Here is a 14,239-nt window from a genome sequence, read left to right on the forward strand (position 1 = left end):
TCAGGTGAGAATGATTCATTTCTCACTTGAATAGACCCTTTAAATAAAGATGAGTCATTTTTCTGAGAATAAGTCCTTGACATCAAATTGTACAATCTGTTGCCTTTCTAAACACCTCAGTTTAAGGGAAGCAGAATGACTTCAATATCAGGGTTTGTAACAGGCACACAGAAGGGGCAGGGGGTGGGGCCTGGGGGAGGACTGAAGACCCTTTGGTGAGTTTCAGGAGGTAAATAATGACTTACCAGAACGACAGCATGGCTGCCTTCCCTGTGAAAAGCCAGTGTTGAAACATGAGTGTTTGTTCATCTGCAGCCTTGGGCTGTGGTGTCTGCAGTGTTTAATAAGTCATTTTTAATTAGCTTCCATCCACCGTGGTGCGTGGCTGGCTGTCTTCGCACAGCTCTCCGGGGCTGTCTCCAGGAGGCCCTATTTTATTGGCCATTGATGCCATGTCTGCTCAGAGATACAATCAGAAAATATGATTGGTGTTCCCGCATGACACACAGGAGGAGGCACGGATGGCATTACACAAACGGCCCAACAGGCCGGGCGCGGTGGCTCACGCCTGTAATCCCAGCACTTTGGGAGGCCATGGGGGGCGGAAGACCTGAGCCTGGGCAATATAGCAAAACACCGTCTCTATAAAAAATACAAAAATTAGCCAGGTGTGGGGATGTGTGCCTGTAGTCTCAGCTGCTTGGGAGGCTAAGGTGGGAGGATCACCTGAGCCCGGGAGATTGAGGCTGCAGTGAGCCAAGATCATGCCACTGCACTCTAGCCTGGGCAACAGAGCAAGACCCTGTCTCAAAAAAAAGCAGCCCAGCAGGTGACAGGGTGAGCATGGTGGGATTTATCATGAGCAGTACCCTGACCTGTCCGAGGGCACAGCATACCATTATCTAAATGACCAAGGTCCGGAAACTCTTTCGTTCCTGACTTTTCAGTGGTTAGAAGGTGCCAGAGACCAGCTACCTAAGAAGGGAACTGGCCAATTCCCAGGAGGAAAATACTGCCTGCCACTGCACTCAATTGGGGCAGCCATGGCTGAACAAAGCAGGAAGGAGCTGATGGGCGTGAAAAAGGACTGGACTGGAAGTGAGGACCCCAGCTGTCCAGCACATTTCTCAGGGAAGACTCACATGGCACAGCCCAATGCTGGTGTTCTTGTCAAGTGAAGAGTGGGAGTGTCCCGCAGCCCCGGGAGAATAATCTACTTGAGTCCCTGTTTTAAGGGGCATTACTGAGGGGATTCTGCTCCCTGAGCTCCTAGAGGTCTGAGAGCAAAACCATGCAGTGTTGTGTTTGCATTCACAGAGAGCAGGGAATAGAAATGTCTGTCTGCCTTCCCCTCACCCCAAAACCAGAATGCCATCCTCCTAGTGTGTCTGCTGCACTCATGGCAGCAGGAGGAGCAGAAGCAGCCGGGGGTGCTGCTGAGCCCCCACTCCTCCCCACCTCCCCGCACCCGTCCACCTGCAGCAGGGATGGCATGGAAAACCCGACATTTCATAAAGATTCAGCAAGGTCCTGTCAAAGCCCAGGGGAAGCCATATTCAGGGAGGGGGTCAATGTCTGGGAGGAATACAATTCCCAAAAGAGACTGAGAGTGAAGCCTGTGGGTCGGAGGGTGAATGAGAGAGGCTGGCGTATTTGGGAATCAAAGGTGTCAAGGTTTCTTGAGGCTCCTGTCCCTGTCTGTCTGCTTCCTTTCTCTCCGTTCCACCTCTTAGCCCCTGTGAGCAGAGACAGCTGGGGCCCCAGGCTGGTATGATGAGCAAGGGTATAGTTCCCTTCCCTGGGTGCCTTGTCCATTCATGTGTGTGCGTGCACTCCGGAGCTCCTCACCACCCAACCCTCTCTCCTCGTGGTTTTCCCAGTGTGGAGATTAGCCCTCGCCACTGACACGCTGAATAATGCCTTCCTGCCCACCCTCTCCAGGTCGCCTCCTCCCCACGTGAAGCCACTCCCCAAGGGCTCATCTTTGAAAGACTTTTTAAGGTGCACGTGTCATTTTCACATTTGCTCACATTGCACAAAGACCTAGTTGAGGAAACGAAAACTGCTATGATTTATGCTAATGAGATGAATTGCATTCCAAATGTATCTCAACCAGAACACACTTCGCAGTAACACGCATGAAAAGGAAACGTGTTCTATCTAGGAATCCCTGTGTTATTTCACTGATCTGCATGTTGTACCCGAGGGCATCTAGCAATGTGCTAATACCTAATTCAGGAAATCTGGATTGAACATGGGCACCTGTGAAGAAGTGGAAACGGCAGTGGAGCTAAGACATACAGCAAAGAGAGCCTGTTTTGTTATAAACAGCTAAATCTGGAAGTCAATGTTTTGTGTTTCTTGCAGAAGTCATACTTTTATCCTGTCATTATGCAAAAGTGCTGATTCATGTTTAGTGCCACAAAATCTACCTTTAAAGTGGAATATTTTGAAAGGTTGTGTTAAAATGACTCTCAAATCTCTTCCAAAAACTAGCTGCTAAGCAGGAGTTCTCAAGGTAGAAGTTGGAATTACCCAACCACCACCCTGATGGGATGCTCTCTGAATGCAGATGGAAACGATGACTTAACTGCAGCTTCGGATGCATCAGACACAAACGCTGGATAAAGCTGCTCATTCACATAAAGCACCACCTGCTGCCGCTACCTGGAATATCCACACTGGATAACTCGAAGCTTGGTGGAAACAGAGGTTGGAAAAAGCAGAAAATAAAACAAAGGGATGGAAGATGGGTGCTCTGAATTCCATTTCCTTAGAAACCAACAAGAGCTCCTTCAGTATGTCGTGGACACCTTCAGTTGAGCACAGCTCAGGCACCGCAAGGACACTCCGCTCATGTAAGTTGGCCTTAGTAGGTTTTTCTTCCATGAGTGAATTTCTATTCAGAGCAAGTAAAACACAGCCTGTGACACTGTTTGTCCCGAATGTCAACAGCGCTCTCTGTGATCAGCCCGTTGTACGAGGTGTTGGAATACATGAACAACGCAAACGGAATATCTCGTCTCTCATTTCTGTCTTTAATCATTGGCTGCCTCCACTCCAGTTACACCTGGGCCGTGCTCTGATCTGCAGGTTTAACTCCAGGGGAAACTTCACCTGTTTGATGACAGCCGTCAAGTGAACCAGATGTTACCTCTAGTAAGAAAGGATGGGCAGGTAGAGTGTGATGTCTGGGGTGCTCCTGACTCAGGGCGGCCTCCCTGGCTCCCCTCACCCAGTTGGACCTGGGTGCCCTTGTCCTACTCTTCTATAGCATCCTTGGCTTTTCCTTCATGGTGCCCATCACACATTCCAGCGAGACACGGATTTGTGGGATTATTTGCACCGGGTGAAGTTGGCCTGTTCCACTAGTTTCCTGACTCCAGGAGCTCAGAGCTTTTGTCATTCTTTCTTCACTCTGTGCATGTAACACACAAGAGACGTTTCCTGAATGAAGGGCCCCTGATGCTGTGGCACAAATAACAAAACATTGGGAAGTAGTACGTCTTGCCAGCCCTACTGCTGGCCCTGAATGACTGGAACCAGTGCTTCAATTTTAAACATTTGATTGACAAGTTATTTTCAGCAGTTTGCCCTCAAAAGATGACCTTGTGTCGTTTACTTCTAACCTGATCTGGGCTTAGCGTATCTACTCATTCCTTAGGTCAGCCACAGCCTCATAAGCAGCTACGTTCAATCAGTCGTCACAGCCCTGGGCACAGACTTTCTCAGCAAGAGTAATTTTCTCACTTATGCTAACAATTTGACTTCTTCAAACGCGTACTCTTTTTTTTTTTTTTTTTTTTTTTTTTTGAGACGGTGTCTCATTATGTTGCCCAGGCTGGACTTGAACTCCTGGGCTCAAGCAATCCTCTGCCTCAGCTCCAGACTAGCTGGGACATAGATGCATGTCACCGTGCCCAGCTCAAAAGCGTACTTTTACCTACACTGATGATATCAAGACATGATAGAACAAAAAGCATATTTCCTGAGTGATTTTTTAAAAATTTCAACCGCCTGTACACAGACTGTAACACCAGCAGTCGTGAGGAAGTGCTTGGGACTTGCCGGTTCTCAGACTTGCCTCTTGCCAGGGAGGAGACCCCATCTAATAACAAATGTCTTTCCCTAATGAAGTCCAGAACCAGATCTTTCATGGACCTAGATTTTACCTGCAGAGATGTGGAACAGCCACAGTTGGAAAACCATGAGTGCTTGATGTTAAATGAAGGCAACACTCCTCAATTCTGAGATTGTTTATATTGTTTTGGGAATGTAATCGTTGGAGAAAACATTTCTCAGCCTGGTCACAAACCGTCCCTCCCACAACAACAACAATGGAGTATAAGAAGTACAGTTTTACAGAGTATTTTGGGGGCTTTCTTCTCATGACAAGAGTCTTTCTTATGGTACAAATAGTTGTGTCCTTTCTCACAGCATAAAATATACACATAAAATAGTAAAACGGGAGAGACAGTACTGACAGTGGATGAAGCCAGGCTGACGTGACTGAGAGGCAAGTTTCAACATCAGGAAAAAGTGAGTAACCTTATATATCTGCTTTTTATTCCAAGGAAATCACACACTGGTGATTTTGGAGAAGGGAATCTGCAGGACAACGGCGGTGGGGAGGGGCACAGAGAAGCTTGCAGAGCGGTTGCTGTTTGATCATTGGAATAATGAGGAAGCAGAGAAGCTGACAAACTTGGGACCCAATGGCTTCATGCTCTGAAACGACCATTTTTGTCGTTGGAATGTTTTCAAATGTGCTAAGACTTGTGATGAGTCTAAGTGGAAAAAATAAGTTTTTCCTTTTCCTTTTCCCAGGGTAAAAAAAGATGATACTAACACACTAAGTTGGTCTGTAGATGCCTGTTATTCACTCACCAGCCCCTGTAGACCTTATAAGCCTTGTAGAATCTTTAGTCACCAAAGACTGAAGAACAAGAAGGTGCTCACCCACAAAGATCAGGGTGCATTTCACCAGAGGGTAAAGCCATTCTCAGACATGGTCTTTTCATTACAATGTGTTCTTTTCATTCTAGCTGGTTCTTTAGCTAGAATACCAGTGAATTCCATGTCTAGGTATAGATTAGGATCTTTGTATAAATTCCAGGCTCTGGGAATTGCTGCTTGGATGTTGGCACCTAGAAGTAGGAGAATGGAAGCCACATAGTGGAAATATCCCTGTTTCCTTTTGATTCTAATGACACCCACCTGGTCTAAGTTAATTTCCATTTTAATCTATGCTAATTATTTCCGCTTAATTATAAATTCCTATTGTGTCAAGGTTGGTAAAGCCGGGTTGAGACACAGTTTATTCAAGGCTGATAGTTCAATAAAAACATCTATCCAAGTACAAATGTAGTTTCAGAAGGTAAAAAATAGTTCTTGTTTGGATTTATAAAATTTAAGGGAAAAAAAGATGTAATGTCTTTCTCCAATTGTATTAGTCCATTTTTATGCTGCTGATAAAGACATACTCGAGACTGGGCAATTTACAAAAGAAAGAGGTTTAATTGGACTCACAGTTCCATGTGGCTAGGAAGCCTCACAATCGTGGCCGAAGGCAGGCAGGAGCAAGTCACATCTTATATGGATGGCAGCAGGCAAAGAGAGCTTGTGCAGGGAAATGCCCCCTTCTAATGACCATCAGATCTCATGAGACTTACTCGCTCTCATGAGAACAGCACGGGAGAGACCTGCCTCCATGATTCAATTACCTCCCACAACACGTGGCAATTCAAGATGAGATATGGGTGTGGACACAGCAAAACCATATCACCGATCAATGTGTTCTTGTTTACAGAAACAAAGACCACACTTACTCCTCAGGAGATACATGGGTGATCTTTCAAGAGACCATCAGAAAGAGGCTGCTTGGGTCCCGTCCGAGGAGAGACAGAAGACTGAGCCGTGGTGTACTCTATTATCTGACGCAACAGCCTTTTCTGCAGGATATTAAAGGACTTTATAAATATTAATTATCTCATTCATCCTCATCACTTTGTGAGAGCCGAAGACATTATAGATGGCCAGTCACCCATTTCACTAAGTATCTAAAGCCACCTTCCACACGTAATCATTAACATTTCAAAATACTTTCACCTCTTTATTATTCAGAGATGTTGAGTTTATGAAGGACTCGGTCCTTTTTGGTTCTTTCTGCCCCGCATTAATAAACACCTTTGAATTACTAAACATTCCTGCCTCTCTCCACCTCTTTCCTTTTTTCTACATTAATTTAGCAAAATTACAGAATGTAAGTATGTAAAAATAAGAGTAAAGCCACTCATAAGCTCACAATGACTAATAATTACCATGAATATTTGATGAGTGTCCATCCTGAACATTTTCCAAATACATAGGCTCACGCATTTTTACCTCCTTTAATGCTGTTTTATGTTCATTAATATCATTATTTTAAATATATTGTATGTAATTTTTTTTTTTTGAGATGAGTCTTGCCCTGTCGCCCAGGCTGGAGTGCAGTGGCCCATCTCCGCTCACTGCAAGCTCTGCCTCCCGGGTTCACGCCATTCTTCTGCCTCAGCCTCCCGCATAGCTGGGACTACAGGCACCTGCCACCATGCCCGGCTAATTTTTTGTATTTTTTTAGTAGAGATGGGGTTTCACCGTGTTAGCCAGGATGGTCTCGATCTCTTGACCTCGTGATCTGCCCGCCTTGGCCTCCCAAAGTGCTGGGATTACAGGTGTGAGCCACCACGCCTGGCCTATATGTAATTATTTTTATGTATCATTATTATTTCTTTTTTTTTTTTGGTGACTGAGTCTCACTCTGTCACTCAGGCAGGAGGGCAGTGGCACAATCTCGGTTCACTGCAACCTTTGCCGCCTGGTTCAAGCAATTTTCGTGCCTCAGCCTCCTGAGAAGCTGGAATTACAGGCACAACGCACCACCATGTGAAGCTAATTTTTGTATTTTTAGTAGCGACAGAGTTTTGCCACGTTGGCCAGGCTGGTCTCAAACTCCTGGGCTCAAGCGATCCACCTGCATTGGCGTCCCAAAGCGCTGGGATTACAGGCGTGAGCCACCTTGCCCAGTTGTCATTATCACTATTTTTAACAGCTGAAAATTATTTCACTGTATGGATGTGCCATCATGAAATTAACTAACCCCCTATACCCAAACTCTGAGGTCGTTTCAACACATTTGCCGTTGGAAACCTCTTACCTCTGTCTCCAGCCCAGACAGCAGCCTGGTCGGCTTCCTTCCAAATCATTTTCCATGGCCAATCACACAGAAACCAGGGACACATATAAAGGATTTTGTTATTTTGTTTCCTTTACAAAAATAGTATTATACCCTGCAACCTGTTTCTCTCATTTAAAAAATACATTATAAAAGCTCTTCCAGATAATTTTTAAACAGCTGTACAATATTTTATAGTATAAATACACCACGATTTGTGCAACCAATTTCCTCAGTGGGCATTCAGGTTATTTCCTGATGTTTGCCACACAAAGATTGCTGCTCCAGACACTCTAGAACATCATGTTTGCATATCCACGTGTGTGCTTTCATAGCATGAGGGCAAGGCAGTGGGATTGCTGAGTCCAGTGGTATATTTGTCCAATGGTATATTTGCTGAGTCCAGTGAATAGATTTGTCTGAGATGATTCTTAAAGGCATTCACACCAAAGTGGGGAAGAATTCAAGCTGCTCTGTCAGTTTCTTCCACACAGATATTCTAGCTAGAAATAACAAATACTTTGTGTGTAGACATGCAGACAAAGCAGCTGATGCTCGGAAAAGGAACAGGACTGATCAAGGTCACAGCTAAATATTTCAGAACCAGGACTAGGACTAGGTCTCCTGATTTTTTTTTTTTTTTTTTTTTTTTTGAGATGGAATTTTGCTCTTGTCACCCAGGCTGGAGGGCAGTGGCTCAATCTTGGCTCACTGCAACTTCTGCCTCCCAAGAAATCCTTCTGCCTCAGCCTCCTGAGTAGCTGGAATTACAAGCATGTACCATTATGCTCAGCTAATTTTTGTATTTTTAGTAGAGACAGGGTTTCACCACGTTGGCCAGGCTGGTCTCCAACTCCTGACCTCAGGTGATCCGCCCACCTTAGCTTCCCAAAGTGCTGGGATTATAAGTGTGAGCCACTATGCCCGGCCCAAATCCTGATTCTTTGACAGAACCTTTTGCACAACAATAACCTTTTGCTGGGCAATGAAGAGTTGGGGAAATGAGAAAGAAAAGGTGTGTATCAGTTATCTATTGCTGTGTAACAAGCCAGCCCAAAACATCATAGCTTAAAATGATAGGCATTTATTGAGTTCGTGATTCTATGGGTCAGCAACTTAGGCTGGGCTCTGCTAGGAGGATCTTTTGGTTGGAGTTGGGTTCCCTCATGGGGATGTGTCAGCTGTGGGTCAGCTGGGGGTCTTGGTTTTTCTCTGTGCTCTCTGTTTTTTTTTCTTTTCTTTTCTTTTCTTTTTTGAGATGGAGTCTCACTGTGTCGCCCAGACTGGAGTGCGGTGGCGCAATCTCGGCTCACTGCAAGCTCTGCCTCCCGGGTTCACGCCATTCTTCTGCCTCAGCCTCCCAAGTAGCTGGGACTACAGGTGCCCGCCACCATGCCTGGCTAATTTTTTTCTATTTTTAGTAGAGGTGGGGTTTCACCGTGTTAGCCAGGATGGTCTCGATCTCCTGACCTTGTGATCCGCCCGCCTCGGCCTCCCAAAGTGCTGGGATTACAGGAGTGAGCCACCGCGCCTGGTCTCTCTGTGCTCTCTTATCCTGAAGTATGCCGAAAAGGAGTGCAAGTGTGTAAGACCTCTGGAGACCTAAGCCCAGGGCTAATATGTTATCACTTCTGCCATATTCTATGGCTAAAGAGAGTCACAGGAGAGCCTAGATTCAACGGGTGATAAAATAGGCTCCACTTCTTAATGAGAGGAACAGCAAAGGCACATTGCAGAGGGCATGGATCAGGAAAAGGTGGAGAATGGAAACCATGTTTGCAATTTATATGCCATGTTTTCAGGGGCATGAATTTTTTTTTTTGAGATGGAGTCTTGCTCTGTCCCCCAGGCTGGAGTGCAGTGGTGCGATCTTGGCTCACTGCAAGCTTGGCCTCCCAGGTTCACACCATCTCCTGCCTCAGCCTCCTGAGTTGCTGGGATTACAGGCGCCTGCCACCGTGCCCGGCTAATTTTTTGTATTTTTAGTGGAGACAGAGTTTCACCGTGTTAGCCAGGATGGTCTCGATCTCCTGACCTCGTGATCCGCCCGCCTTGGCCTCCCAAAGTGCTGGGATTACAGGCGTGAGCCACTGCGCCCGGCCCAGGTGCATTAATTTCTTCCCCTAATTTCCAAACAATTGCTTTGGTATCATGTTGATGTGGCTGTTTGGAAAATCATGGCTCTGTAAGAGCATAAAGTAATATCAGTGGTAAAATCCCAAAAAGTCTTCCCAAGGTACCTGAGGCACATTTGGGGCACTGGAATATTAGGTCAAGCCTCTTTGTTTTTAAAAATAGATTTTCAAATAAGAAAAATTATTCTATGGCCATTTTATTCTCATTTTTAATACATTTTGTATTAGTCGCTGGTGTGTGCCCTCTTTACTGCTCTGTTTGAGAACACTGCAGCTATACAGAACTGGGGTTTTGTGTGTGTGTGTGTGTGTGTGTTTCTTAGGATGTTTCTGTAATTTTCTATCTCACAAAATAAAAACCTAAGAGTACTCTGCAGGTCATAAAAATAGCAGGCAATAAACAAAGTTAGACATAGTACACTTCCTTTTAATATTCCAACAAAAGAGTGTCCTTGGAGACGAGAGCAGGTGGGGGTGCAGGTGAGGAGCCCCGGACGTCCATGGGGCACAGAGAGCCCCTCTGAGGGACTCCTGTGCACTGGGCAGACAGCAATCTCTATGTCCAGAAACTTCTGGGCTTCAACCAAATATACAATGAATTTGGGGTGTGGGTTCAGGACAGGAAGAAAGCACACACACGTTAGCGTTTTGTTCTTTCCTGAATCGGCAGCTTAGTATGGAAAATGACCCTCTGGGACACTCCCATTTGTCTAACCCAAGTGGGGCGTGGAAGGAAAGGAAACTCCGTGAGACTCCGCTGAGTCTCGGGCAGGGCACGTTGTAGACGTCTGGGGCACACTGGCCCCGCTCTGCATCCACAGCTGGATTCTCCACCCCTGAGCAAGACAAGGAGCCCCAGACAAAACGCTCAGGATTCCAGAGGATGGGGTTGAGGATCCTCAGCCTTTCAGAGTGAAAATCCACGAGGCGGAGGAGGTTTAAAACAACAGAAACAGGCATGTGGGGAAAACCATAGGTTCAATTAGAAGCACTGTACAGACGTTCTGTACAAGAACTTCCTGCGCAGAGGAAACAGGATACCAGGAAAAGTGGAAACCCTATTGTTTACTTGGAGGTAGGAAAAGAAATAGGTGGGTGATTTGTTTCCATAGTGACTATTGTTAAAATGAGACAAACTGACACCGATACTGATTTATTCTCCTTTTCAAGCCTTTTTAAAAGATCGCTTTAATCTGAGTTGGTCCTTGAATATAAATAAGAAGACAAAGTTATCGTTCACAATTATTATTTTTGGCCACTTAGAAATGAGATTTTTTAAAAAATGAAAACATTTAAATAGAATGTGTTTTACATATAGGAATTGTGTTCTGGGTATTTGCAATTTAATCCTAAATCTTAAAATAATATTTTTTCCTGCTTTACCCCAAACTACAAGATGTGTATTTGCTGTTGGTGACCTCTGAACCCACATCACAGGAGTTTGATTTATAAAGGTGGACACTTAATCTGTCCTCCTGGACAGCCAGGCTCCCCACTCCTCCCAAGCTCCAGATGCTGTTTGTTACAAAATGGCGAGCATAAAAGGCCTTAATGGGTATCATCTCACAAAATCTCCACTCCCTCTCAGGAGCAGGGGACCTCCTTGCAGGGCAATAAGCAGGAAATTAAACACGTACACACGCATATGTACACACACATACACACGTACACACATACACACACAAACGTACACACACACATACATACACACATACACACACACAATTGGTGCAGTGACTCTCTGGCTCAGCTCTTGAAAGGAAGAAAAACCCAAAGAATGTTCTAGAAATTCCTAGGCCCCTGCTGGCTTAAAGTGTAGTTCTCACATGAGCCAAAAGTGAAGCCTGCCAGGGTATCGAGCCCCTGTGGCCCATCTCTACCTTCATCCCCTCAATCTTCTCATGCATTCATTCGGTTATTAATTCACCAAGCTTCGTGACGGCCCCCTAAGCTAGTGATTGTTCTAGGTACTGGGGCTGCCACGGTAAGACATGACTGATCTCTCTCACACCAATTAATAGTCAGCATTAAGGAGGTGTGGTTAAGCATGCAGGCTGCGGAGCGAGACTCAGAACCAAACCCTGGCTCTGACCCTTTCTAGCTGGATTTCATTGCCTGCACGCGCTCCCTCTCTCTCTTTCTGTGTCTGTCTGTCTGTCTCTCTCTCTTTCTCCATCTCTCTCTCTCTTTTTTATACCTGAAAATGCAAAGAATCGTGTCACCCCTATGCATTGCTACAAGGATCCATGGGATGCCGCAAGCAGGGCGTGCAGCCGCCTGTTCCCGGGTGCCGCACACGTGCTTGCTACAGCTATGAGGATTCTCCTGACTAAGGCGTGCGTCTAACCCTCGAGGAACTCGCTATCTAGATCTAATGGTACAGGAAAACGACTAGAACATTTGAAGGTGCTATCAATGCTATTCTTTTTTGGTTGAGTGGGATCCCCACAATTTAAAATTAAGTAAAAGCTGGCTAGGCATGGTGGCTCATTCCTGTAATCCCAGCACTTTGGGAGGCCGAGGCAGGCAGATTGCTTGAGCTCAGGAGTTCGAGACCAGCCTGGGCAACATGGCGAGACCCTGTCTCTACAAAAAATACAAAGAGTAGCCTGATATGGTGGCATGCAACGGCTACTTAGGAGGCTGAGGTGGGAGGATTGCTTCAGCCCAGGAGGTAGAGGTTGCAGTGCAGTGAGCTGAGATCGCACCACTGCACTCCAGCCTGGGTGGCAAAACCAAACCCTGTCTCAAAAAAAAAAAAGAAAAGAAAAGAAAAAGAAAAAGAAGAAAATTAAACTTAAATTAAGTAAAAGCTGCCATTTATTTTTAAAGCCACTTTATTGAAGTCTAATTGACGTAGAAAAAGCTGTACATATTTTATGTCTACAACTTGATGAGTTTGGAGATAAGTACTCACCTGTGAAACCTCACCATAATTTATGCCGTAAGCATATCCATCACCTCCAAAAGTCTCTTTCCACCCTCTGAATTAATTATTGTTATTATTTTGTGATACAAACACAAGATCTATCCTTTCAGCCAATTTTAAGTATACAATACAGTGTTGCTAATGATATGTCCACGCTACACAATAGATTGCTAGGACTTACTCATCTTGTATAATTGAAACTTTGCACCCCCTGACTCATCCCGTCCCGTCCCCCTCCCCCACGCTCCCTCTCTCATCCCACCCCTGACAATCACTGTTCCACTCTCTGCTCCTGAGCCTGACTAGATTCATCATGCAAGCAGCACCAGGCATATTTGTCCTTCTGTGTCTGGCTTATTTCACTTAGCATAATGTTCTCCAAGATCACTGGATGACGTGTGTTAATGAGGCCTCTGAAACCAAGCCTAGGACCAGGCAGAAGTGTGGAATGCAGCTGTGGAGCGAGGATCTAATCATTCTGCCCACTCTAACTGCCAAGATGAATCGCTCCATGGACGGCACGTTCTGAAGTAATCAATATCAATTTTCAAGACAGCTGAAATGTCCGATGAACCACACGGCAGCCGGGTGCAGTGGCCATGAGCTGCTGTCGCTTCCCAGTTAATGTGAAATGGAGAAATAAACACCTGTCAGGCCCTCCCATCCACGGAGGCAGGCGGTCTGCAGAATCTTGTTCAACAGGCTGTGTTTTCTATGCCACACCATGATCTTGGTTCCTTGGCTCGGCCAGGCGTGATGGTGGCGGGAGCCTGTAGTTCCAGCTACTCGGGAGGCTGAGGCAGGAGAATGGCATGAACCCGGGAGGCAGAGCTTGCAGGGAGCCGAGATCGTGCCACTGTGCTCCAGCCTGGGTGACAGAGTGAGACTCCATCTCAAAAAAATAAAAATAAATAAATAAATAAATAAAAATTAAAAAACTATTCTAACATTTAAAAATTTATTTTAAAATAACAAATATACTGTCGAAACATTTTAAAAATTAAAATATCCAGTTTTAATCTGTGTTTTGAGAAAAGGGAAATGGAATAAGTAGCTAATTGGTACATAAGTTGGTAGAAACTGTCAGAAAATAATTGTATTTTGTATTTCAAAAGGGTAAAGTTATAATTGCATTTTAAAACTGAGACATTTCATTCTAGGAATTTACATGAGCAAATAATCAGAGATGCACAAGACAGATCTGTGTGTGGGCATGTTTGCAGCCGCAATGTTTAGGAGTAACACTAATAAAAAGCAAGGGGGTGAGGTAGGGCGAATTTTAATTTGCTATGTGACTCTTAATCCTCCCACTCATAACCAAATAGCCGTTTCGGGACAAAAATCTTGTCTCCCCAAATCTCTTCTTAGGTGGGAGGCAGCTGGGCAAGGCATTAAAAAAAAAAAAAACATAAAAAACAAATGCCGGGCGCGGTGGCTCACAACTGTAATCCCAGCACTTTGGGAGGCGGAGGCAGGTGGATCACAAGATCAGGAGATCGAGACCATCCTGGCTAACACGGTGTAACCCCATCTCTACAAAAAAATTAGCCAGGCGTGGTGGCAGGTGCCTGTAGTCCCAGCTACTTGGGAGGCTGAGGTACGAGAATGGTGTGAACCTGGGAGGCAGAGCTTGCAGTGAGCCGAGATCGCGCCACTGCACTCCAGCCTGGGGGACAGAGCAAGACTCCGTCTCAAAAAATAAAATAAAATAAAATAAACATATATACAGGGTCTGATCCTCTCCACTTCCTTTTAGGGCTGGGATTATGCCCAATTAGCTCATGATCTGAGTCAAATGTTTGGGGTGGGGTGTATTTATTCAATGCTAATATAATTATGTGCACATACCAAGACAGGTATTTGCACGAGTTGTCACCAGTAATACAGATAATCCTGAAACTGGATTCTGTGGGGAAACAGAGTCTGGGGAAGCTAAAGATCCCACCTGAGTCTTTGATAAAC

The 14,239-nt window shown here is 45.2% G+C and overlaps 1 long non-coding RNA gene across 1 annotated transcript, besides 1 other annotated feature; it reads left to right on the plus strand.

The window, feature by feature from the left end:
- Positions 2-978: an enhancer, noted in NCBI's record as "H3K27ac-H3K4me1 hESC enhancer chr18:74399393-74400369 (GRCh37/hg19 assembly coordinates)". NCBI's record gives its function as "activates a minimal SCP1, AML or CMV promoter by ChIP-STARR-seq in naive and primed H9 embryonic stem cells {active_cell/tissue: H9 hESC(naive and primed)}" and the evidence as "EXISTENCE:reporter gene assay evidence [ECO:0000049][PMID:30033119]".
- Positions 2,595-6,202, plus strand: LINC01879 (long intergenic non-protein coding RNA 1879). The gene is made up of 2 exons (NR_122073.1): positions 2,595-4,539; positions 5,810-6,202. It is a non-coding gene; the product is annotated as a long intergenic non-protein coding RNA 1879 (long non-coding RNA).
- The last annotated feature ends 8,037 nt before the right edge of the window (positions 6,203-14,239 follow it).

This window comes from Homo sapiens, chromosome 18 (assembly GCF_000001405.40).
Source record: "Homo sapiens chromosome 18, GRCh38.p14 Primary Assembly".
NCBI lineage: Eukaryota > Metazoa > Chordata > Mammalia > Primates > Hominidae > Homo > Homo sapiens.